The 24473-nt window shown below is 39.6% G+C and overlaps 1 protein-coding gene across 11 annotated transcripts in view, besides 2 other annotated features; it reads right to left on the bottom strand.

Moving 5' to 3' along the window:
* Positions 1 to 778: 778 nt before the first annotated feature.
* SLC22A15 (solute carrier family 22 member 15) overlaps positions 779 to 24473 on the bottom strand; it is a 93542-nt gene continuing 69847 nt past the window's right edge. For 8 of the 11 annotated variants that reach the window (XM_047424416.1, NM_018420.3, XM_047424412.1 and 5 more), the window contains 4 exons: positions 7951 to 8071; positions 6325 to 6397; positions 4125 to 4313; positions 779 to 3814 (listed from right to left, as the gene is read on the bottom strand). In XM_047424416.1, the coding sequence (XP_047280372.1) occupies positions 3725 to 3814; positions 4125 to 4313; positions 6325 to 6397; positions 7951 to 8071 (473 nt within the window). In that variant the 3' untranslated portion in view covers positions 779 to 3724. Of the gene's footprint in view, positions 3815 to 4124; positions 4314 to 6320; positions 6398 to 7950; positions 8072 to 24473 lie in introns of those variants that run through there. The other 3 variants (XM_047424411.1, XM_047424414.1, XM_047424415.1) reach the window with 3 other exon arrangements.
* Positions 2934 to 4133: an enhancer, noted in NCBI's record as "MED14-independent group 3 enhancer chr1:116609321-116610520 (GRCh37/hg19 assembly coordinates)". NCBI's record gives its function as "activates an origin of replication core promoter dependent on BRD2, BRD4, P300/CBP and CDK7 cofactors, and independent of MED14, by STARR-seq in HCT116 cells {active_cell/tissue: HCT116}" and the evidence as "EXISTENCE:reporter gene assay evidence [ECO:0000049][PMID:35650434]".
* Positions 22283 to 22784: an enhancer, noted in NCBI's record as "NANOG hESC enhancer chr1:116590670-116591171 (GRCh37/hg19 assembly coordinates)". NCBI's record gives its function as "activates a minimal SCP1, AML or CMV promoter by ChIP-STARR-seq in naive H9 embryonic stem cells {active_cell/tissue: H9 hESC(naive)}" and the evidence as "EXISTENCE:reporter gene assay evidence [ECO:0000049][PMID:30033119]".

Raw genomic sequence — 24473 nt, 5'->3', positions numbered from 1 at the left:
CAAACTGCACCTGGCTGCAAGGGGTAAACTTATCTGCAAGAAATTCAGAAAATGTACATTTTAGCTTTAAAGCTTCTGTAGTATAAGAAGATAGAGTAGAGCAGTGGATTTCAAACTATGGGTTGCAACCTATTAGCGAGTCATGATATCCATTTATTGAGTTATAAATGGCATTTTGAAAAGTGAAATAGAACATAAGTTATCAGTATGCCTAGCAAGATTAAGTATTATTGCATAAAATATATACATTTTTATGATTCATAGATATTTTATATATACATATATATTTGTAGGTGGGGAAGTATGACACGATGAATATGTAAAATGCATTTCTTACTGTGGGTTATGATAAAAAAAAAAAGGCTGAAGGCCAAGGTACCAGGAAGGTGAAGAGATGCTGTGTGCCAGTTTACCATATCTACTATAGTATCTCTTATTTTATTAAGGAAGCATCCTTTTATTCCTACTCTGCTAATAGCTTTTATTTTGAATGGATGTTGAATTTCATCAAATAATGTTTATTTTTCTATTGAGGTAATCATAAGCTCTTTCTCCTTTGATGTACTACATTGATGGATTTTCCACAATGCATTGTCTTTGCATATTCCTCATTCTAAAAGTATTTTGATAGTTAACTTTTGTGTCCATCAGTCTACAACTTTCCTACAACCCCTGTCCCACATATTACTTAACTTTACTAGCAGGTTCTGCATTTGCCCAACTTGTCAAAGCTACTACTGTAGATTTTGAGACATTCTGGGAGAACAAAAAAAAGGTCTATGTTTTATGATTCTTTATTACATTCACAAGAAGCCAAAATATCTGCATTTTATTTAGCTTAAAAATGTAATCATTTATAGATATTTTTCCAATTTAAGAACCAATGATAAAGCATTTGTATGGAGAAGTCCTAATGTGAAGCTGGTTTTTAATTCTGATACAGTAGTGACAATTATTTCAATATGTATTTGTTATGAATATAAATCACCTACTAAAAGTATCTTCATCAATTTGCCCACCATAAAAATATCTGTCTGATTTATGGTTACCTAAACAGTGTCTCAGAAACTCATTTTCTTCATTTATTTGCCTCATTTTGTTTATTTGCTCATTTTTAAATACTAAAGAATATCTGCATTGCTTGAAAGTAGCCAAATAACAAGTATTGGTTTTACTGGGCTGTGGTTGTAACTCACAAAATCAGAAAATTTCAACATGGTTTCTTTCAAAATATTTGTGAGGTGTAAATATTTTGGACAAGCTGCTAATGTGAACTTTCACCCTGGAAACTCTGGGGTTTCTTATATATCTTACATTTATTTTTCTTGCTTTATTTTAGGAAAAAAAATTTTTAATTTTGAATAGAATTAAAAAAACAGGATACTTTTTACAAACCATCCGCACAACCAAAATACATTACCTGTCAATGAAAAGTTTTCCAATAATTTAATCAATGCAAATATACACATATACACATTCTCTACATCAATAGTATTCAACAGTTTTTATCAAAAGGAGAAAATTTTGATTTTATAAAGGCAGTGGAAATAAAAAACAGTAATTATTAAGTTTTGCTCAAGGACCATCTAGAAGGAAAATTTAGTGACACATCTGAAATAAGCAACTGATGGCCAGCCTAGCCTTATTAAGTAACACATATTCAAATTGTAGATCTCCCCCTCCTATCTTCCACCCCATAGCTAAGAAAGGAAACCCAGGGATAGAACTAATTGAACTCTATTAGCCAGAGGCAATCGAACCCAGTGCCAATAGAGAGATGGACTCCCAATTAGTCTTCAAATGGAACAAAGTCATAACACTGGTTTTCTTTCGATGTTGGACGTATGGGTGATACGTTTCTAAATTTATAGTTTCCAAATTTTCTGTAATGAGATATATTACTCTTATAATACAAAGAAAGCTCCAACTAATCAAAAATTATATATATGTTAGTTCACTGTTTTAAATGCCCAACCACCATTTAAGAATAACTTTTAAGTGTCTTTGTAAGTTCTTCCTCTCTTCCTATTCTGATGTTGAGAAGGGGTCTATTTTCCAGAGAAAGTTAAGCAGGACTTGACAATTTGGGAGTTTGGGTCAGATTTGCTTGGAGTTTGTAAAAATTATACTGGGAGGAGTTCCACAATCTCCCTGATGGCTAGAAACAGTAATATTTACTAGGTTCTTACTGTGTCTACGCCAATGTTCTGGGCACAGCAGGGAAAAATAAACAGTAGTAGAGATGGCCTCTGTTTATGAAGAGCCCAACTAATAATCAAGGGCATAAAAGACATAAAAATAACAATTACAAAGGTACATACTGATACAGTGGAAACCAGAAGTCAGTGTGCAAGAAAACATGACAGTATTTGGAGCCAATTGGGGTGATGCTTCCAGCACTTCCAGAAGCAGCCACAGTGACGTCTTCTATTTACCTCTAATTCAATTTCTTTTTCTCCAAGAGGTTAGTAGAAATGGAAATTCTGAAAACACAGAAATTTTCCTCACTGGGAAAGTGACCTAAATCAATGCTGCCTAAGCTTGTTGACTCCAGGTTTATATTCCTATTTGAGATAGTATTCAAGTTTCATGAGAAAACATGTTTTCAAGACATGATTTTAGGAAATCAAATACAAGATTCACTTGAAAGTTGGTAGCACTTAATGAAAAACCAAGGTTTCCCATGAAATTACTGAACCTTCCATTTTGATTAAACAGATTGGGGCTGATCTAGGACAAGAAGTTCTTAAATATTGTCCAAATCCCTCATGGCACAATGCTGAAAGCAAAACAAACAAAAATTTATCAAAGATAATTTCATTTTCTCTCTTATTAAAAACTGCACCTTTTTTTTCCTCCAGGTGCTCAACATGTCACTGTTTAACTGCCCTCTACTTAAAGCTTTCTCATTTACTATGCATGATTTTGAAGTACTAGAATCTCAGATGGAAATTTTTCTGGATGTGCATATTAGTGGGAAAGGAAGAAATCATACAATATAGTATCCAAGGGAGCTGACAGGCAGCCAGAGCTACACCCCTGACTCTGAGTAAACCGCTTTGGTATATCTGGCTTTTCCTAATGAATCATCTGTGGGACTCAAGGCACCAGCAGCCCAAGTCAATCAGCAGGCTGGGAACCAAGCTGAGGACTCATATTTCATCAGCTAAGAAAAAGCTGGAGGGTCTCGGGACACACAGATGACCTCTGGGTGCTTTTCCCTGGACACAAAATGAAAATGCTGATGTTAACCTGTACCAGAAGATTCCTGAGGAGCAACTGATAGGGGCAAATGTCCAACATGGTATAAGGATTAAATCTTAATAATAGCTTATCTTACCCCACCAAAATGGTGAGAAATTTTACATATCTGCCTTTATTTAGATCATGATGAAGGAAAAGCGACATGATGAAATCTCTAGAAACAAATGAGCCTACCACTTTGGAATGTGGGTTTGGGCTGTTCTGCCAGATGTTATGATTCTGAGTAGAACTTAAATTCTAAACAAATTAACAACTATTCTCTCAATGCAGTGATGTTGTCTTTCATGAAATCTCTTCTCCAACTTCTGTGCCTAAAAACATCAGTCCATGCCAGGTACCATCTATGTACATTCAAGCCAAGCCTCTATTTTTACAACTCTCTTAGGAGTCATGGAAGAACCTGCCTTAGCCAGAGGCATAAAAGACGATCCTTTGCTTCTTAGGGGGAATCTGGGGCTCTTCACTTGATCATCTGAGTCTCTTCATCTGCATCATAAAATTCTTCCTCTTCCTCACTCTCACTCCCTAAAGAGCTCTCCTTGTCCACACACTGAAACAGGAAAGAAGAAAAGGGCAGTGAAATGATGTTATGACATTTCTGAAATGGAAACTACCATCTAGCTATTCAACTGACAAATGTATTTATATGACATTCATTCCCCCAAGAAATAGCCCCTAAAATATTCTAGGAAAGCTAATGAATCATCGATCATCCTTATTTCTCTGAAAATCAGCTGCTGTTAGATCCCACTTTTGTTTTCCAGCAGTTTTACTCAGTTCTATTTAATTTAACGCAAACCTTCTTTTTTTCATTAACTGCCACTATCCAAGCGGTATAATAATTAAGAAAAATATCACACCTGTTGGGGGTCCAAAGCCTGTAAAGATAATGCTTCTTCTCCCAGCCTGCGATACGAATACACCTGAAGGTCGGAGAATGTTTCTAGCAGCGGACTGTTAAGGGTCTCCGGCAATAACAAACTCAGGAGGCCGGAGGTCAGACCCGTGGCTCCGAAGACAATGAATGGTAAAGACCATTGCACATATTTCTGCAGAGGCGGGGAGTGGAATGAAAATAAACCAGAGAATTAGTTTCCTTAGCATGTAATACAAGCAGTCTCATGACTGAAAAACTGTCATGTTTACCACCTAGTTCATGACCTCGCACTAGACAACACTATAAGCCACTTCTTTCCACATAAAGAATTATCCTGGGAAATCAGAGAATGATTCCTCAGGCATGTAGAGATGGGAGTGAGTAAATAAAAGGACAGCACTAGTCTGTACATTAGAAGCAGCAATTTCATGTCCGGGGTGGGTACTGTAGGAGAAGAGGCCAGGCTGCCTCTGAGCAGGCAGGCCTATATGGCCAGAGCTGACAGGACATCTTGTAGTTCAGCTTCCATTCCAGGTGAGCACACTTTGCACAGAGGCATCCCAAAATACTTGCTGATGATGAACTTTAAAGTTCTTAATCCTGGAATTGGCCAAACCATCCTATATACCTTAAGACCGTAACTGAGAGTTCCAGGGATTAAAGGTGTAAAAACTCTTTTAAAAAACCAACCCTACGACATACATATGGCTTATAAACTTCTAAACTGAACATGGTTAAGGGCTGGTGATACAAGCAATTGTTTCAGAGATCCAAAACATATTCTCAGGAAAACGGAAACATTTCATCACAAAGAGATTCAAAGAAAACATGAAAAACAGTTGCTTCCAGGGTGTTTCTCTGGGGCTTTTCTGAGCTGATCAACATTTTAGAATTCCTGCTAAGCTTTATGATCTTCTGGTTTAGGCTTCCAAATTTCGTGGGTAGGTCCACTACTAATTAGGATTTCCCCTCAGACAATTTTTTCCTGATTTTTCAAAGTGAAGAGATGATGGAGAAGGAGGTGGAAAAGGGAGAAGGGGGAGGAGAAGGGAGAGATGGAGAGAACCGAGCAGAAGACAGGGATGAGGAGGAAGAGGGAGGAGGAGAATCTCTCATCTCTAGCCATCTACACTCAAACATATGTCCAGCACTGTGGGCCTGTTGTTGAAACAAGGGGAACACACACTTTCCCTTCTTCTAACCTTGTAGGAAGCAACAGAGACACAGTGCTGGGTATTATAATGTTGTAGGATAGCTATCCAAAGTCAGATATCTCTAACAGTACCTATATTTTGCAGAATAAAACACAGACCTACATGACTCCTTTAGGAGAAGGGTCTTGTGAACTAAAATTAATCATGAGACATGGAGAGAGATACTCTGAGAAGGGAAATGTACTGCACCTCAGAAAATGAAAAGGTTATAATGGCATTTCAGAGACCTGCCTAAGTAATGAACAGTTGTCTACAGAACAGGTCCACAAGTCCCACATCAAATCTAGTTGCTTTCAAAAAGTCTTGGCTGTGGAAAGTCACAAATCAAACCAAGGAGAGACTTGCGTAGGGGTCCCCTGGGTTCTTTCACAGAATCTGAGCATTTTAAGATGAAGGATTTTAGGGCTGTCATTTAATCTGGTTCCCTTTCTTTGACTATACAAGTTAGAAAGTTTCAAAAAAAAAATATTAACAGACACAGTGAGAGACATATTTCTCCTCTAATGTTATTTTCCAGGAGGTGTGTTCTTGGGGGAAGGTATTTAACCTCTCTGTAGCATGTCTCATATTTAATACAGGGGTAACAACAATGCCTTCCTCTTATGGTTACTATGAGGACTGCATGTGATGATATGTAGAAAGTGCTTGGCATAGAGCCCAGCACACAGCAGAAGTGTCATACATACTTATTAGTTGACTAACTTTTTCATGGGGACAGGAATGGGGCACACTGGCATTAGCAGACCCTCCAACAAATCCAGATGAACAAAAAATCAGACCCACTGGAGGCAAATGAATCCTCGATAAGAGTCCATCTGCCCTGACGGAATACTATCTAAAAGGGCCAAGGTTCACATTTGTGTCAGCTGATCTTAAATGACATCTGTTCATCACCTCTTTCTACTAAAAAGCATAAGCATTTCCAAAGCAGAGAATCAAGAAAAACAAAACTAGAAGGTACAAACCAACCAGTGAGGGGATGAAGGGAGCAATAATCCCACCAACTCGGGAGAACATGGAACAAGTTCCAAGCCCAACATTCCTGAAAAGCATAAGTAAAAATACATCAGTAAGTTCTAGCGGAGGAATTAAGAGACCCTTGGGGGGCAGCAGCGGGCCTTGAATAACATGTCCTGAAGTGGAAGCACAGGATCCTAGAGAACAGTGGGTTCTAGAGCTGCCTACTAGATGTTCCTGAGATGCTAGGAATGTTCTATAATTACCCAGTCCAATGTGGAAGCCACTAGACACAAGCACTACTGAGTGCTTGAAATGCAGCCAGGAAGGATGAAGAACTGAATGTTTAATTTATTTAATTTTAATTAATTTACACTTAAATAGCTACATGAAGCCAGTAACTACCATATTGGACAGTGGATCCACAAAGGATGATATAGAAATGAGCATTTGAATATTTTTAAGTTAAAAGTTCTCATGGATTTTCATGCCTTAGATCTCCTACAGACTGCCAGGGTTTTATGATCTGAAAAGGCTGCTCATTTATTTAAACTCAACTAACTAATTAACAATTAACAGGTCAATCATATAAATAGAAATTGACTAAGCGTGTACTGTCAGGAAACCAAGAACACCTTTATGGGGAGTGCAGGCATAAAAAAGATAGGAAGGAGAGAGGGAGGGAGGGAGAGAGAATGATAATTAATGGTTTTGGGTAGAGGGATACAGCACTCTGTAATCCCAGCTGAAAAGTTCATACCCACATTTGCTCTCAAAATTGTCCCAGAGTGGACAAAATCATCATCCTAGTTTTATAGCCAGTAGCCAGGTAAAGTAGGTTATAGGACCAGCTAGGAAATTACTAGCCAATTGCAGACACTCTGCTCTCTTACTAGGAAAAATAATTTTAAATTAACAGGCAGAAAGAACCATGAAGCTTCTTGCATGGATAAGGGAAGGAGAAGGATTGTTTGGAATGATCCTCTAAAAGACTGAGAAAGAGCTGGCTGAGCGAATACCTGCCCAGGCCACAGAAGCAGTTCTGCAAAGCCTCAGCTGCACCCCCATCCTTCAAATTTGGGTGTGTTTCTTGCTTTCAGACTTATTTTATGAAGGGAAATTTAGGCTGGATATTTATTCTTTTCAATATAAACATATCCTATTCATTAAGAACCCAGTTTTAACAATTGCTGTTTAACTCTGATATTCACTTATTACTATATGAAATTATCTTCTAAAAATGTGTGTATTTTGTGTTAAAATGTAGGCTCTGTGAGAATAGGGAGCTTGTCCCCATGTCTGTGATGTGTGATGCAGGATGGGTGACTGAATAAATAAAATTCACCAAAATAATAATAGCATCTGTGCACTGTTTGGGTGACAGAATATGCCTAGCATAGAGTACTTCTCTTACAACTTACACTAAGGAATTCAGTCCACCATAAAGTGACATTTTCCTAGCAGAGCAGGCAGAGAGCAGTCTGCCAAGGCAAGCTCTCACCCTAAACTGCTTGCTGAATTACTGCTGCCCCAAACTAACTCCAGAAGCAGATGAAATGAGTACCACACCTCTGTTGGTGCAAGAATGGATGACAAAGTGTAGAATGTGTGAAGAATGAGGCTGTGTGAGACACGTACCTGATGACTGTAGGGTAAAGCTCAGAGGTGTAGATATAAACAATGTTAAAGGCAGCACTGATGGTCAGCTTCCCCAGCAAGGACAAGGAATGGCTGTTCACCACTGCAAACACACCTGTGTCTGAGGAGGACAAGGGCAATGCCTGTGAGACCCACAGTTGAAACAATTCCTCTAAATGGCACATTTCATTTTGATGGAGCAGGTGGCATTCATGTTGATCTCAAAGAGCAAAGAGATAGTGTAACCAAATACACATTCAGAAGGTTTAGTAATCACACAACACATGCATCTATTTTCTCAGTGTTTTGGCTCTACCCTTGGAAACTTACATAGTGGTGTCATTAAGTGTGATAAACTTTCACTCACTCCTGAATGACAGAGTACCCTGAAAACTTCTGTACTGTCATAAAGTAAGCTTCATGGAAATTATAAGTTTCATCTTCCAAGGGTGTAACTTGACTCTCCTTTCTTCCCTCTTACTCACATAATCAATGACGTAAAACAGTGGTCTGCACAACAAGCCCTGATAAGTACATGAGACAGAGGTAAGCTCCAGAAAAGCTCTTATATGCAGTTTGCATTCTCTGGTGTTTCATTGAGAAGGTAAGGAACAATGCCATTCAATTACTATCAGAAGATCAAAGACATTAATGTTCTTTCTTTCTGTTTTTTGAGACAGAGTCTTGCTCTTGTCTCCCAGGCTGGAGTGCCACAGCGCGATCTCACCTCACTGCAACCTCCGCCTCCTGGGCTCAAGCGATTCTCCTGCCTCAGTCTCCCGAGTAGCTGGAATTACAGGCACCCACCATTACGCCCAGCTAATTTTTGTATTTTTGGTAGAGACAGTGTTTCCCCATGTTGGCCAGGCTGGTCTTGACCTCCTGACCTCAGGTGATCCACCTGCCTCAGCCTTCCAAAGTGCTGAGATTACAGGTGTGAGCCACCACGCCCAGCCGATGTTCTTTAAATAACAAGAATCTAAATATGAAATTACTTTTACTCCTCAACTTCTCACTTGAATTACTAATCAATAGTAATATTTTAGTTTCTTAATGTAATGCTTTTATTTAAAATGCAAAAAATATATTTTATGTCAGTTCATTTCTTTACCAAAAATGCTAACAATTATCTTATTTTTTTTCCTTTATTAACATTATACTTTCTGGGATTCTACAATTTAATGATTTTTTTTTTTTAGAAAAGTTTAACCTCTCCCCTTCAATAATCATTTGCCTCTACCTTCAAAATAACAATTTACTTCTTATGAGGCAAAAAAGTTCTCACTGACTCTGTTGTACTTCCTGCCATTCCCTATCAAACGTCCCAGTGAATGACCACCACTCCATTTTCTCCAATGCACCTGTCCTGGCAACTTACTACAATCTGGCTTCCATACCATCCTCTCCTGAAATTCCTACTCTTGAAGGTCAGCAGCAATGTCCTCATCACCAAATGTAATTGCCTCTCATTCTCCTTGACATTTCTGCCAAAGAGAACACTCTCGTTCCTTCCTTTGGAATGTATGGCTCACAGAAACCACTCTTCCCCTAAGCAGCTCAAATGAAATATGCTCTCTTTCCTTCAACCTCCACTGCCCCTACTTTCCAATCCATTCAACTGGCGTGCCTCAGACACTGCCTTGTGGCTGCTTACTTTTCCATCTTGCCTGTCCAAATTGGGATTTCGAGTTCTCTCAGACCCAGGTTGGTAACTTCCTTGTATTCGTGTTCCTCAAGGCACCTCCCATAGCACTATGTACACTGGTGCTCATTAAATATCTGCTGAACTAATAAGTGGAAGGACTACAAGAGGGATTAATTTAGTGAATAGAACCTGTGTTCATGCTCTCTCAACTTGAAAGGAGGGAGGCATAGACATGCCCCAGTCCAAAAAATAAGTTTCACCTTCCCTGCTTAACTATAAAATAAATCTTCTTTAAAGAGTGTGTCTTGAACAGAGTAGTCCAGACTCTGCCAGACTCCACCTTCTGGAGCTGCTTTCTCAAACTCTTCTGCCAGGCTATTTGGAAGACGATGTTAGCTCTTCTAAGTCCTGGATATATATTTTTAAGCCACAAGGTGCTTCTGATAAAGAATCATGTCTTTCAGCATTTACCCTGAGATATGTTTCTCAACTTTTGAGATCTAACAACATTTTCACTTAAACCAATAATGAGGGCAAATTAAATTCATCAATTATTTTCCAGGAAACAGAATGAGTTGGGAAAAGGTATTGGGAGGCATTGAACCAAACAGAAATACGCACATATGCTTGATTGCAAATGATCTCTGGGACTGTTTTCAACCCATACAGAATGGTATCTTTCAGAACTGTATGGAGGCACTATACATCTTTAACAACAGGCTAAAGAACTGCCATCCTTGAAATCTGGATTCCAAGGGTGTGTCACAGAAAGTGTATCTTCTTAATACCCACAAGATCCAAAGCTAGATGAAGTTTTCCATGATAGGGTCAGGATAGCTCCAGCTGTAGCCCATTTGGGAAGCCTGGCTCCAGCTACATGTCCACAGAATGCGTGCATTAGTCCAATACCCCATCTGATGCTTAAAACTTCTCTCGTATGTGCCTGCCAATGGGGTCTGCAGTTGCCATTTAAACCAGGGTAATTCACTTTTTCCTCAAAATAGCCCATGTCCATTTCAGACAGTTTTGGTTATGAGAAAATTATTTCTTTTTCTTTCTGGGACTCCTGCCTGTGGGGCTGCTGGGCTGTTTGTCCTGGCAAATACTCAGGAAGGCTTTGCAGCCGTTAGACTGGTTCCCTGGATTCTTTATCTGAAAATCAGATATTATTGGCTGTTACCAATGAATGTCCAAAGTGATGGTCGAGAAAAAAGAGCGATTTAAAAGACATAAGCAAAACTAAACTATCTTTTTAAAAAAGGAAATCTCAAAAAACACTTGTATACTTCAAATACTAACTCAAGGAGGTTATACATTTATTCCAATGATGCGACTACTACAGACATCATTTTCAGAACTATTTTTCTGGAAGGTTTTCCAGATACCATTTGGGATCACCAGCAAAAAATGTCTTAGTATGATATAGTCACATTTCACTGACCCAAAATGGCAAAAAATTCAACTTTCACATCCACTCATTCACTGTGTGATTACAAGAAAATTGTTCATTTTGATTGTTCACATGTTAAAAATCTTTAAGACAGGTACAGGTCCTCTGCTATGATACATAAATGGGGTAAGAATCACAATGCATTTTGCTTCCCTCTGGCTTTTTATAAAAAGCATATACACACAAACTTCTGTCACCATAGTTTCACCTTTTCAAGGATTTCACAATAATATAATACTGTTTGTAGACTTTTGTGTGTGGTTTCTTTCACTCAGCACAGTAGGACATAGTTCTTTCCTTTTTTGTTGTTGACTAATATTCCATTATATTGATATACCACAATTTGTTTATCCATTCATCAGCTGAAGGGCATTTGAGTTCCATCCAGTTTGGGGCTATTATTAATAAATCCACTATGAACATTTGCATCAAAGTCTTTGTGTGGATCTAGGTTTCCACTTCTCATGAGTAAAGCTGGGTCATATAGTAAGTGTATATTTCACTTTAAAATAAGCTGCTAAACATTTTCTGAAGTGTCTATACCATTTTGTATTTTTACTAGCAATGTATATGAGTTACAGTTCCTCTTTATCACCAACACTTGCGGTCTCTGTAATTTTTGTCATTTTAATCAGTGTCCTGTGGCATCCCACTGTGGTTTCATTTTTATTTTTATTTTAGTTTCCATAATTTATTGAGGTACAGGTGGTATTTGGTTACATGAGTAAGTTCTTTAGTGGTGATTTATGAGATTTTGTTGCACCCATCACCCGAGCAGTATACAGTGCACCCTATTTGTAGTCTTTTATTCCTTGCCCCGCTTCCCTCCAAGTCCCCAAAGTCCACTGTATCATTCTTATGCTTTTGCGTCCTCATAGCTTAGCTCCCACATATCAGTGAGAACATACGATGTTTGGTTTTCCATTCCGAGTTACTTCACTTAGAATAATAGTCTCCAATCTCATCCAGGTCACTGCAAATGCCATTAATTAATTCCTTTTTATGGCTGAGTAGTATTCCATTGTATATATACCATGGTGTCTTTATCCACTCGTTAACTGATAAGCATTTGAGTTGGTTCCACGATTTTGTAATTGGGATTTGTGCTGCTATAAACATGCATGTGCAAGTATCTTTTTTGAATAATGATTTCTTTTCCTCTGGGTAGATACCCAGTAGTGGGATTGCTGGATCAAATGGTAGTTTTACTTTTAATTCTTTAAGGAATCTTCACACGGTTTTCCATAGTGGCTGTACTAGTTTATATTCCCACCAGCAGTGTGGAAGTGTTCCCTGATCACCCGCATCCATGCCAACATCTACTGTTTTTTGATTTTTTGATTATGGCCAGTCTTGCAGGAGTAAGATGGTATCGCACTGTGGCTTTCATTTGCATTTCCCTGATCATTAGTGATGTTGAGCATTTTTTCATGTTTTTTGGACATCTGTATATCTTCTTTTGAGAATTGTCTATTCATGTTCTTCGCCCACTTTTTGATGGGATTGTTTGTTTTTCCTTACTGATTTGTTTGAGTTTGTTGTAGATTCTGAATATTAGTCCTTTGTCAGATGTACAGATTGTGAAGATTTTCTCCCACTCTGTGGGTTGTCTGTTTACTCTGCTGACTGTGCCTTTTGCTATGTAGAAGCTCTTTAGTTTAATTAAGTCCCAACTATTTTTTTTATGTATTAGTCTGTTTTCTTTTTTTTTCAGTATTATTATTATTATTATTATACTTTAAGTTTTAGGGTACATGTGCACAATGTGCAGGTTAGTTACATATGTATACATGTGCCATGTTGGTGTGCTGCACCCATTAACTCGTCATTTAGCATTAGGTATATCTCCTAATGCTATCCTTCTCCCCTCTCCCCACCCAACAACAGTCCCCAGAGTGTGATGTTCCCCTTCCTGTGTCCATGTGTTCTCATTGTTCAATTCCCATCTATGAGTGAGGACATGTGGTGTTTGGTTTTTTGTCCTTGCGATAGTTTACTGAGAATGATGATTTCCAATTTCACCCATGTCCCTACAAAGGACATGAACTCATCATTTTTTATGGCTGTATAGTATTCCATGGTGTATATGTGCCACATTTTCTTAATCCACTCTATCGTTGTTGGATATTTGGGTTGGTTCCAAGTCTTTGCTATTGTGAATAGTGCCGCAATAAACATACGTGTGCATGTGTCTTTATAGCAGCATGATTTATAGTCCTTTGGGTATATACCCAGTAATGGGATGGCTGGATCAAATGGTATTTCTGGTTCTAGATCCCTGAGGAATCGCCACACTGACTTCCACAATGGTTGAACTAGTTTACAGTCCCACCAACAGTGTAAAAGTGTTCCTATTTCTCCACATCCTCTCCAGCACCTGTTGTTTCCTGACTTTTTAATGATCACCATTCTAACTGGTGTGAGATGGTATCTCATTGTGGTTTTGATTTGCATTTCTCTGATGGCGAGTGATGATGAGCATTTTTTCATGTGTCTGTTGGCTACATAAATGTCTTCTTTTGAGAAGTGTCTGTTCATATCCTTTGCCCACTTTTTGATGGGGTTGTTTGTTTTTTTCTTGTAAATTTGTTTGAGTTCATTGTAGATTCTGGATATTAGCCCTTTGTCAGATGAGTAGGTTGCGAAAATTTTCTCCCATTTTGTAGGTTGCCTCTTCACTCTGATGGTAGTTTCCTTTGCTGTGCAGAAGCTCTTTAGTTTAATTAGATCCCATTTGTCAATTTTGGCTTTTGTTGCCATTGCTTTTGGTGTTTTAGACATGAAGTCCTTGCCCATGCCTATGTCCTGAATGGTAATGCCTAGGTTTTCTTCTAGCGTTTTTATGGTTTTAGGTCTAACGTTTAAGTCTTTAATCCATCTTGAATTAATTTTTGTATAAGGTGTAAGGAAGGGATCCAGTTTCAGCTTTGTACCTATGGCTAGCCAGTTTTCCCAGCACCATTTATTAAATAGGGAATCCTTTCCCCATGTCTTGTTTTTCTCAGCTTTGTCAAAGATCCGATAGTTGTAGATATGCGGCGTTACATCTGAGGGCTTTGTTCTGTTCCATTGATCTATATCTCTGTTTTGGTACCAGTACCATGCTGTTTTGGTTACTGTAGCCTTGTAGTATAGTTTGAAGTCAGGTAGCGTGATGCCTCCAGCTTTGTTCTTTTGGCTTAGGATTGACTTGGCGATGTGGGCTCTTTTTTGGTTCCATATGAACTTTAAAGTAGTTTTTTCCAATTGTGTGAAGAAAGTCATTGGTAGCTTGATGGGGATGGCATTGAATCTATAAATTACCTTGGGCAGTATGGCCATTTTCATGATATTGATTCTTCCTACCCATGAGCATGGAATGTTCTTCCATTTGTTTGTATCCTCTTTTATTTCATTGAGCAGTGGTTTGTAGTTCTCCTTGAAGAGGTCCTTCACGTCCCTTGTAAGTTGGATTCCTAAGTATTTTATTCTCTTTAAGCAATTGTGAATGGGAGTTCACTCATGATTTGGCTCTCTGATTGTCTGTTATTGGTGTATAAGAATGCTTGTGATTTTTGTACTTTGATTTGGTATCCTGAGACTTTGCTGAAGTTGTTTATCAGCTTAAGGAGATTTTGGGCTGAGACAATGGGATTTTCTAGATATACAATCATGTCATCTGCAAACAGGGACAATTTGACTTCCTCTTTTCCTAATTGAATATCCTTTATTTCCTTCTCCTGCATAATTGCCCTGGCCAGAACTTCCAACACTATGTTGAATAGGAGTGGTGAGAGAGGGCATCGCTGTCTTGTGCCAGTTTTCAAAGGGAATGCTTCCAGTTTTTGCCCATTCAGTATGATATTGCCTGTGGGTTTGTCATAGATAGCTCTTATTATTTTGAGATACGTCCCATCAATACCTAATTTATTGAGAGTTTTTAGCATGAAGTGTTGTTGAATTTTGTCAAAGGCCTTTTCTGCATCTATTGAGATAATCATGTGGTTTTTGTCTTTGGTTCTGTTTATATGCTGGATTACATTTATTGATTTGCCTATATTGAACCAGCCTTGCATCCCAGGGATGAAACCCACTTGATCATGGTGGATAAGCTTTTTGCTGTGCTGCTGGATTCAGTTTGCCAGTATTTTACTGAGGATTTTTGCATCAATGTTCATCAAGGATATTGGTCTAAAATTCTCTTTTTTGGTTGTGTCTCTGCCCGGCTTTGGTATCAGGATGATGCTGGCCTCATAAAATGACTTAAGGAGGATTCCCTCTTTTTCTATTGATTGGAATAGTTTCAGAAGGAATGGTACCAGTTCCTCCTTGTACCTCTGGTAGAATTTGGCTGTGAATCCATCTGGTCCTGGACTCTTTTTGGTTGGTAAGCTATTGATTATTGCCACAATTTCAGATCCTGTTATTGGTCTATTCAGAGATTCAACTTCTTCCTGGTTTAGTCTTGGGAGGGTGTATGTGTAGAGGAATTTATCCATTTCTTCTAGATTTTCTAGTTTATTTGCGTAGAGGTGTTTGTAGTATCCTCTGATGGTAGTTTGTATTTCTGTGGGATAGGTGGTGATATCCCCTTTATCATTTTTTATTGCGTCTATTTGATTCTTCTCTCTTTTTTTCTTTATTAGTCTTGCTAGCGGTCTATCAATTTTGTTGATCCTTTCAAAAAACCAGCTCCTGGATTCATTAATTTTTTGAAGGGTTTTTTGTGTCTCTATTTCCTTCAGTTCTGCTCTGATTTTAGTTATTTCTTGCCTTCTGCTAGCTTTTGAATGTGTTTGCTCTTTCTTTTCTAGTTCTTTTAATTGTGATGTTAGGGTGTCAATTTTGGATCTTTCCTGCTTTCTCTCGTGGGCATTTAGTGCTATAAATTTCCCTCTACACACTATTTTGAATGTGTCCCAGAGATTCTGGTATGTTGTGTCTTTGTTCTCGTTGGTTTCAAAGAACATCTTTATTTCTGCCTTCATTTCGTTATGTACCCAGTAGTCATTCGGGAGCAGGTTGCTCAGTTTCCATGTAGTTGAGCAGTTTTGAGTGAGTTTCTTAATCCTGAGTTCTAGTTTGATTGCACTGTGGTCTGAGGCAGTTTGTTATAATTTCTGTTCTCTTACATTTGCTGAGGAGAGCTTTATTTCCAACTATGTGGTCAATTTTGGAATAGGTGTGGTGTGGTGCTCAAAAAAATGTATATTCTGTTGATTTGGGGTGGAGAGTTCTGTAGATGTCTATTAGGTCAGCTTGGTGCAGAGCTGAGTTCAATTCCTGGGTATCCTTGTTTAACTTTCTGTCTCGTTGATCTGTCTAATGTTGACAGTGGGGTGTTAAAGTCTCCCATTATTATTGTGTGGGAGTCTAAGTCTCTTTGTAGGTCACTCAGGACTTGCTTTATGAATCTGGGTGCTCCTGTATTGGGTGCATATATATTTAGGATAGTTAGCTCTTCTTGTTGAATTGATCCCTTTACCATTATGTAATGGCCTTCTTTGTCTCTTTTGATCTTTGTTGCTTTATAGTCTGTTTTATCAGAGACTAGGATTGCAACCCATGCCTTTTTTTGTTTTCCATTTGCTTGGTAGATCTTCCTCCATCCTTTTATTTTGAGCCTATGTGTGTCTCTGCATGTGAGATGGGCTTCCTGAATATAGCACACTGATGGGTCTTGACTCTTTATCCAATTTGCCAGTCTGTGTCTTTTAATTGGAGCATTTAGTCCATTTACATTTAAAGTTAATATTGTTATGTGTAAATTTGATCCTGTCATTATGATGTTAGCTGGTTATTTTGCTCATTAGTTGATTCAGTTTCTTCCTAGTCTCGATGGTCTTTACATTTTGGCATGATTTTGCAGCGGCTGGTACCGGTTGTTCCTTTCCATGTTTAGTGCTTCCTTCAGGAGCTCTTTTAGGGCAGGCCTGGTGGTGACAAAATCTCTCAGCATTTGCTTGTCTGTAAAGTATTTTATTTCTCCTTCACTTATGAAGCTTAGTTTGGCTGGATATGAAATTCTGGGTTGAAAATTCTTTTCTTTAAGAATGTTGAATATTCGCCCCCACTCTCTTCTGGCTTGTAGAGTTTCTGCCAAGAGATCCGCTGTTAGTCTGATGGGCTTCCCTTTGTGGGTAACCCAACCTTTCTCTCTGGCTGCCCTTAACATTTTTTCCTTCATTTCAACTTTGGTGAATCTGACAATTACGTGTCTTGGAGTTGCTCTTCTCGAGGAGTATTTTAGTGGCGTTCTCTGTATTTCCTGAATCTGAATGTTGGCCTGCCTTGCTAGATTGGGGAAGTTCTCCTGGATAATATCCTGCAGAGTGTTTTCCAACTTGGTTCCATTCTCCCCGTCACTTTCAGGTACACCAATCGGACATAGATTTGGTTTTTTCACATAGTCCCATATTTCTTGGAGGCTTTGTTCGTTTCTTTTTATTCTTTTTTCTCTAAACTTCCCTTCTCACTTCATTTCATTCATTTCATCTTCCATCACTGATACCCTTTCTTCCAGTTGATCACATCAGCTCCTGAGGCTTCTGCATTCTTCATGTGGTTCTCGAGCCTTGGCCTTCAGCTCCATCAGCTCCTTTAAGCACTTCTCTGTATTGGTTATTCTAGTTATAAATTCGTCTAAATTTTTTTCAAAGTTTTCAACTTCTTTGCCTTTGGTTTGAATTTCCTCCTGTAGCTCAGAGTAGTTTGATCGTCTAAAGCCTTCTCTCAACTCATCAAAGTCATTCTCCGTCCAGCTTTGTTCTGTTGCTGGTGAGGAACTGCGTTCCTTTGGAGGAGGAGAGGCACTCTGCTTTTTAGAGTTTCCAGTTTTTCTGCTCTGTTTTTTCCCCATCTTTGTGGTTTTATCTACTTTTGGTCTTTGATGATGGTGATGTACAGATGGGTTTTTGGTGTGGATGTCCTTTCTGTTTGTTAGTTTTCCTTCTAACAGACAGGACCCTCAGCTGCAGGTCTGTTGGAGTTTGCTAGAGGTCCACTCCAGACCCTGTTTGCCTGGGTATCAGCAGTGGTGTCTGCAGAACAGTAGATTTTCGTGAACCGCGAATGCTGCTGTCTGATCATTCCTCTGGAAGTTTTGTCTCAGAGGAGTAGCCCGCCGTGTGAGGTGTCAGTCTGCCCCCACTGGGAGGTGCCTCCCAGTTAGGCTGCTCGGGGGTCAGGGGTCAGGGACCCACTTGAAGAGGCAGTCTGCCTGTTCTCAGATCTCCAGCTGCGTGCTGGGAGAACCACTGCTCTCCTCAAAGCTCTCTTCAAAATGACAGGGACATTTAAGTTTGCAGAGGTTGCTGCTGTCTTTTTGTTTGTCTGTGCCCTGCCCCCAGAGGTGGAGCCTACAGAAGGAGGCAGGCCTCCTTGAGCTGTGGTGGGCTCCACCCAGTTCGAGCTTCCCGGCTGCTTTGTTTACCTAAGCAAGCCTGGGCAATGGCGGGCGCCCCTCCCCCAGCCTCGCTGCCACCTTGCAGTTGGATCTCAGACTGCTGTGCTAGCAATCAGTGAGACTCCGTGGGCGTAGGACCCTCCGAGCCAGGTGCGGGATATAATCTCCTGGTTTCCTAAGCCCGTCAGAAAAGCACAGTATTCGGGTGGGAGTGACCCGATTTTCCAGGTGCCATCTGTCACCCCTTTCCTTGACCAGGAAAGGGAACTCCCTGACCCCTTGCACTTCCCGAGTGAGGCAATGCCTAGCCATGCTTCGGCTCGCGCATGGTGCACTGCACCCACTGTCCTGCGCCCACTGTCTGGCACTCCCTAGTGAGATAAACCCAGTACCTCAGATGGAAATGCAGAAATCACCCATCTTCTGCGTCGCTCACGCTGGGAGCTGTAGACCAGAGCTGTTCCTATTCGGCCATCTTGGCTCCTCCTTCTTAGTCTGTTTTCATGCCGCTGATAAAGACATACCCAGGACTGTAAACAAAGCTACTGTTTGATCCCAGAAAACTCCCAGTTAAATCACAAATCTGCTGTTTTTCTGCAGTCTGTGAAGAGGATGTATCACCGCGGTGTGGACCTCGAGCAGCTGCTGGACATGTCCTACGAGCAGCTGATACAGTTGTACAGTCAGTCCCAACTATTTATCTTTGTTTTTATTGCATTTGTTTTTGAGTTCTTGGTCATGAAATCCTTGCCTAAGCCAATATCTAGAAGGGTTTTTCCAAGGTTATCTTCTAGTATTTTTATAGTTTCCGGTCTTAGATTTAAGTCCTTAATCCATCTTGAGCTGATTTTTGTATAGGTGAGAAATGAGTATGCAATTTCATTCTCCTACATGTGGCTAGCCAATTATCCCAGCACCATATGTTGAAAAGGGTGTCCTTTCCCCACTTTATGTTTTTGTTTGCTTTCTTGAAGATCAGTTGGCTGTAAGTATTTGGATTTATTTCTGAGTTCTCTATTCTGTTCCACTGGTCTATATGCCTATTTTTATACCACTATCATGCTGTTTTGGTGACTATGGCCCTATAGTATAGTTAGAAATCAGGTAGTGAGATGCCTCCAGATTTGTTCTTTTTGCTTAGTCTTGCTTTGGCTATGTGGGCCCTTTTTTGGTTCCATATGAATTTTAGAATTGTTTTTTCTAATTCTGTGAGGAATGATGGTGGTATTTTAATGAGGATTGCATTGAATTTGTAGATTGTTTTTGGCAATTTTCACAATATTGATTCTACCCATCCATGAACATGGAATGTTTTTCTATTTATTTGTGTAATCTATGATTTCTTTCAGCAGTGTTTTGTAGTTTTCCTTGTAGAGGTTTTTTGACTCCTTGGTTAGGTATATTTCTAAGTATTTTATTTTTTGGCAGCTACCATAAAGGGGTTGAGTTCTTGATTTGATTTTCTGCTTGGCTGCCATTGGTGTATAGAAGAGCTACTGATTTCTGTACATTAATCTTGTATCCAGAAACTTTGCTGAATTCTTTTATCAGTTCTAGGAGCTTTCTGGAGGAGTCTTTAGGATTTCTGAGGTAAACAATCATATCATCAGCAAACGGTGACAGTTTGACTTCCTCTTTACTGATTTGGATGCCCTTTATTTCTTTCTCTTGTCTGATTGCTCTGGTTAGGACTTCCAGTACTATGTCGAAGAGGAGTGGTGAGAGTGGGCATTCTTGTCTTGTTCCAGTTCTCAGAGGGAATGCTTTCAACTTTTCAGTATTATGTTGGCTGTGGGTTTGTCATAGATGGCTTTTGTTACATTGAGGTATGTCCCTCGTATGCCGAGTTATAATCATAAAGGGATGCTGGGTTTTGTCTAATGCTTTTTCTGCATCTATTGAGATGATCATGTGATTTTTGTTTTTAATTCTGTTTATATGGTGTATCACATTGACTTGCATGTGTTAAACCATCCCTGCTTCCCTGGTATGAAACCCACTTGATCATGGTGGATTATCTTTTTGATATGTTGTTGGATTTGGTTAGCTAGTATTTTGTTAAGGATTTTAGCAACTATGTTCATCAAGGATATCAGTCTGTAGTTTTCTTTTTTGGTTATGTCCTTTCCTGGTTTTGGTATTAGGGTGATGCTGGCTTCATAGAATGAGTTAGGGAAGGTTCCTTCTTTCTCTGTCTCATGGAATAGTGTCAAAAGGATTGGTATCAGTTTGTTAAATGTCTGGTAGAATTCTGCTGTAAATCTGTCTGGTCCTGGACTTTTTTTTGTTGGTAATTTTTAAATTACCATTTCAATCTCGTTGCTTGTTATTGGTCTGTTCAGGGTATCTAATTATTCCTTATTTAAACTAGGAGGGTTGTATTTTTCCATGAACTTATCCATCTCTTCCTAGGTTTTCTAGTTTATGTGTGTGAAGGTGTTCATAGTAGCCTTGAATGATCTTTTGTATTTCAGTGGTGTCAGTTGTAATGTCTCCTGTATCATTTCTTAATGAGGTTATTTGGATTTTCTCTCTTTTCTTGGTTAATCTTGCTAATGATCTATCAATTATATTTATCTTTTCAAAGAACTGGCTTTTTGTTTCATTTATCTTTCATATTTGTTTGTTTGTTTGTTTCATTTAGTTCTGCTCTGATCTTGGTTATTTCCTTTCTTCTGCTGGGTTTGGGTTTGGTTTGTTCTTGTTTCTCTAGTTCCTTGAGGTGTGACCTTAGAATGCCACTTTGTACTCTTTCAGTCTTTTTGATGTAGGTGTTTAGGGGTATGAACTTTCCTCTTAGCACTGCCTTTGCTGTATCACAGAGGTTTTGATAGGTTGTGCCATTACTGTCATTCAGTTCGAAGAATTTTTTAATTTCCATCTTGATTTTGTTTTTGACCTGATGCTCATTCAGGAGCAGGTTATTTAATTTCCATGTATTTGCGTGGGTTTGAAGGTTCCTTTTGGAGTTGATTTCCAGTTTTATTCCACTGTGGTCTGAGAGAGTGCTTGATATAATTTCAAATTTCTTAAATTTATTGAGGCTCATTTTAGGGCTTATCATATAGTCTATCTTGGAGAAAGTTCCATGTGCTGTTGAATAGAATGTGTATTCTGTGGTTGTTGCATGAAATGTTCTGTATATATCTGTTAAGTCCATTTGTTCCAAGGTATAGTTTAAATCCATTATTTCTTTGTTGATTTTGTCTTGATGACCTGTCTAGTGCTGTCAGTGGAGTACTGAAAGTCCCCCATTATTATTATGTTGCTGTCTATCTCATTTCCTAGATCTATTAGTAATTGTTTTATAAATTTGAGAGCTCTAGTGTTAGGTGCATATGTGTTTAGGATTGTGATATTTTCCTGTTGGACAAGGGCTTTTGCCGTTATATAATGTCCCTCTTTGTCTCTTTTAACCACTGTTGCTTTAGTTTGTTTTGTCTGATATAAGAATAGCTACCCTGCTCACTTTTTGTGTCCATTTGCATGAAATGCCTTTTTCCACCCCTTTACCTTAAGTTTATGTGAGTCCTTAATGTGTTAGGTGAGTCTCCTAAGGCAGCAGATAGTTGCTTGGTGAGTTCTTATCCATTTTGCAGTTCTGTATCTTTTAAGTGGAGCAGTTAGGCCATTTACATTCAATGTTAGTATTGAGACATGAGGTACCCTTGCATTCATTGTGCTATTTTTTGCCTGTCTACCTTGGGTTTTTTGTTGTTTTTGCTTTTTAACTCGTATTTTGTTTTATAGGTCCTGTGTGATTTATGCTTTAAAGAGTTTCTGTTTTGATGTGTTTCCAGGATTTGTTTCAAGATTTAGAGCTCCTTTTAGCAGTTCTTGTAGTGGTAGTTTGGTAGTGGCGAATTCTCTCAGCATTTATTTGTCTGAAAAAGACTATCTTTCCTTCATATATGATGCTTAATTTCACTGGATACAAAATTCTTGGCTGATAATTGTTCGGTTTGAGGAGGCTGAAGACAGGGCCCCAATCCCTTCTAGCTTGTAGCGTTTCTGCTGAGAAATCTGCCGTTAATCTGAGAAGTTTTCCTTTATGGGTTACCTGCTGCTTCTGTCTCACAGTTTCTTAAGATTGTTTCCTTTGTCTTAACTTTAGATAACCTGATGACAATGGGCCTAGGTGATGATCTTTTTGTGATGAACTTCCCAGGTGTTCTTTGTACTTCTTGTATTTGGATGTCTAGGTCTCTAGCAAGGCCAGGGAAGTTTTCCTTGATTAATCCCCCAAATATGTTTTCCAAACTTTCAGATTTCTCTTCTTCCTCAGGAACACCAATTATTCTTTGGTTTGGTCATTTAACATAACCCCAGACTTCTTGGAGGCTTTGTTCATATTTTCTTATTCTTTTTTCTTTGTCTTTGTTGGATTGGGTTAATTCAAAAACCTTGTCTTAGAGCTTTGAATTTCTTTCTTCTGCTTGTTCAATTCTATAGCTGAGACTTTCCCGAGCATTTTGCATTTCTATAAGTGTGTCCAATGTTTCCTGAAGTTTTCACTGTTTTTTATTTAAGCTATCTATTTCCTTGAATATTTCTCCCTTCACTTCTTGTATCATTTTTTGGAGTTCCTTGCATTGGGCTTTGCCTTTTCCTGGTGCCTCAATTTAATAACTAACCTTTTATCTGTCAGAGGGAAGGTCTAGGCTGAAGGCTGCTGTTCAGATTCTTTTGTCTCACGGGGTATTCCTTTGATGTAGTACTCTCCCCCTTTTCCTATGGATGTGGCTTCCTGTGAACCAAACTGCAGTGATTGTTGTCTCTCTTCTGGGTCTAGCCACCCAGTGAGTCTACCTGGCTCTGGGCTGGAACTGGGGGTTGTCTCTATAGAGTCCTGTGATGTGAACTGTCTATGGGTCTCTCAGCCGTGGATAACAGTGCCTGTTCTGGTGGAGGTGCCAGGAGGGTGCAATGGACTCCGTGAGGGTTCTTAGCTTTTGTGGGGATTTTTGTTTGTTTTTTGAGACGGAGTCTCGCTCTGTCGCCCAGGCTGGAGTGCAGTGGCACGATCTTGGTTCATGACAATCTCCGCCTCCCGGGTTCAAGCGATTCTTCTGCCTCAGCCTCCCGAGTAGCTGGGACTACAGCTGCGTGCCACCATGCCTGGCTAATTTTTATATTTTTAGGAGAGACGGTGTTTCACCATCTTGGCCAGGCTGGTCTCGAACTCCTGACCTTGTGATCTGCCCGCCTCAGCCTCCCATAGTGCTGGGATTACAGGTGTAAGCCACTGTGCGCGGCCAGTTTTTGTGATTTAATGCTCTATTGTTGTGCTAGTTGGCTTCCTGCTGGGAGGTGGCACCTATCCAGAGAGCACCAGCTATGGTAGTATGGAGAGGAACCAGCAGTGGGTGGGGCCCTAGAACTCCCAGGATTTTATGTCTTTTGCCTTCAGCTACCAGGGTGGGGAGGGAAGGCTGTCAGGTCGGGTCAGGTCTAGGCCACCCTCCCAAGGGATCCCTGTGGTGCCAGGCAGGAATGGCTTCCTTAGGGAACCAGCGAGCTCCCAGGGCCTTCCCTGCTGCTTCCTCCACCCCTGTATTTTGCTGGCTGTCTTAATTGACTCAGCTCCAGGTAAGGTGGGAAACTTCTCCTGCAGTTTCTCCAGTGGGGGTATGTGTTCAGGAGAGGAGGATCTCCCTTTCCCACTTCCGAAATTGGGGCACTCAGTATTTGGAATGTCTCCGGGTCCTGCAGGAGCAGTCAGCTTCCTTCAGAGGGACTGTGGGTCCTCTCGGGATTGCTGGTTTGTTCTTGCTGTCAATCTGGAGCTAAAGTTCATGATGCGAGCCTCCACACAGCGCTCTGTTCATCTGAGTCAGAGCAGCAATCTACTCCTGCTTTCTGTCCGCCATGATGATCCTGATATTGTGGTTTCAATTTCCATTTCCCTAATGTCTGATGATGTTGAACAACTTTCCCCATATTTATTTGCCATTTTTATATCTTTTTGGAGAAGCATCCATTCAAATCTTTTGCCTATTTTTTCCTTATTATTAGAGTCCTTTCTATATTCTGGATACAAGTCT

Source organism: Homo sapiens, chromosome 1 (genome assembly GCF_000001405.40).
Source record: "Homo sapiens chromosome 1, GRCh38.p14 Primary Assembly".
Classification (NCBI taxonomy): domain Eukaryota; kingdom Metazoa; phylum Chordata; class Mammalia; order Primates; family Hominidae; genus Homo; species Homo sapiens.
Note: the sequence above shows the minus strand (reverse complement) of the source record. Positions and strands in the feature narration are given on the sequence as shown.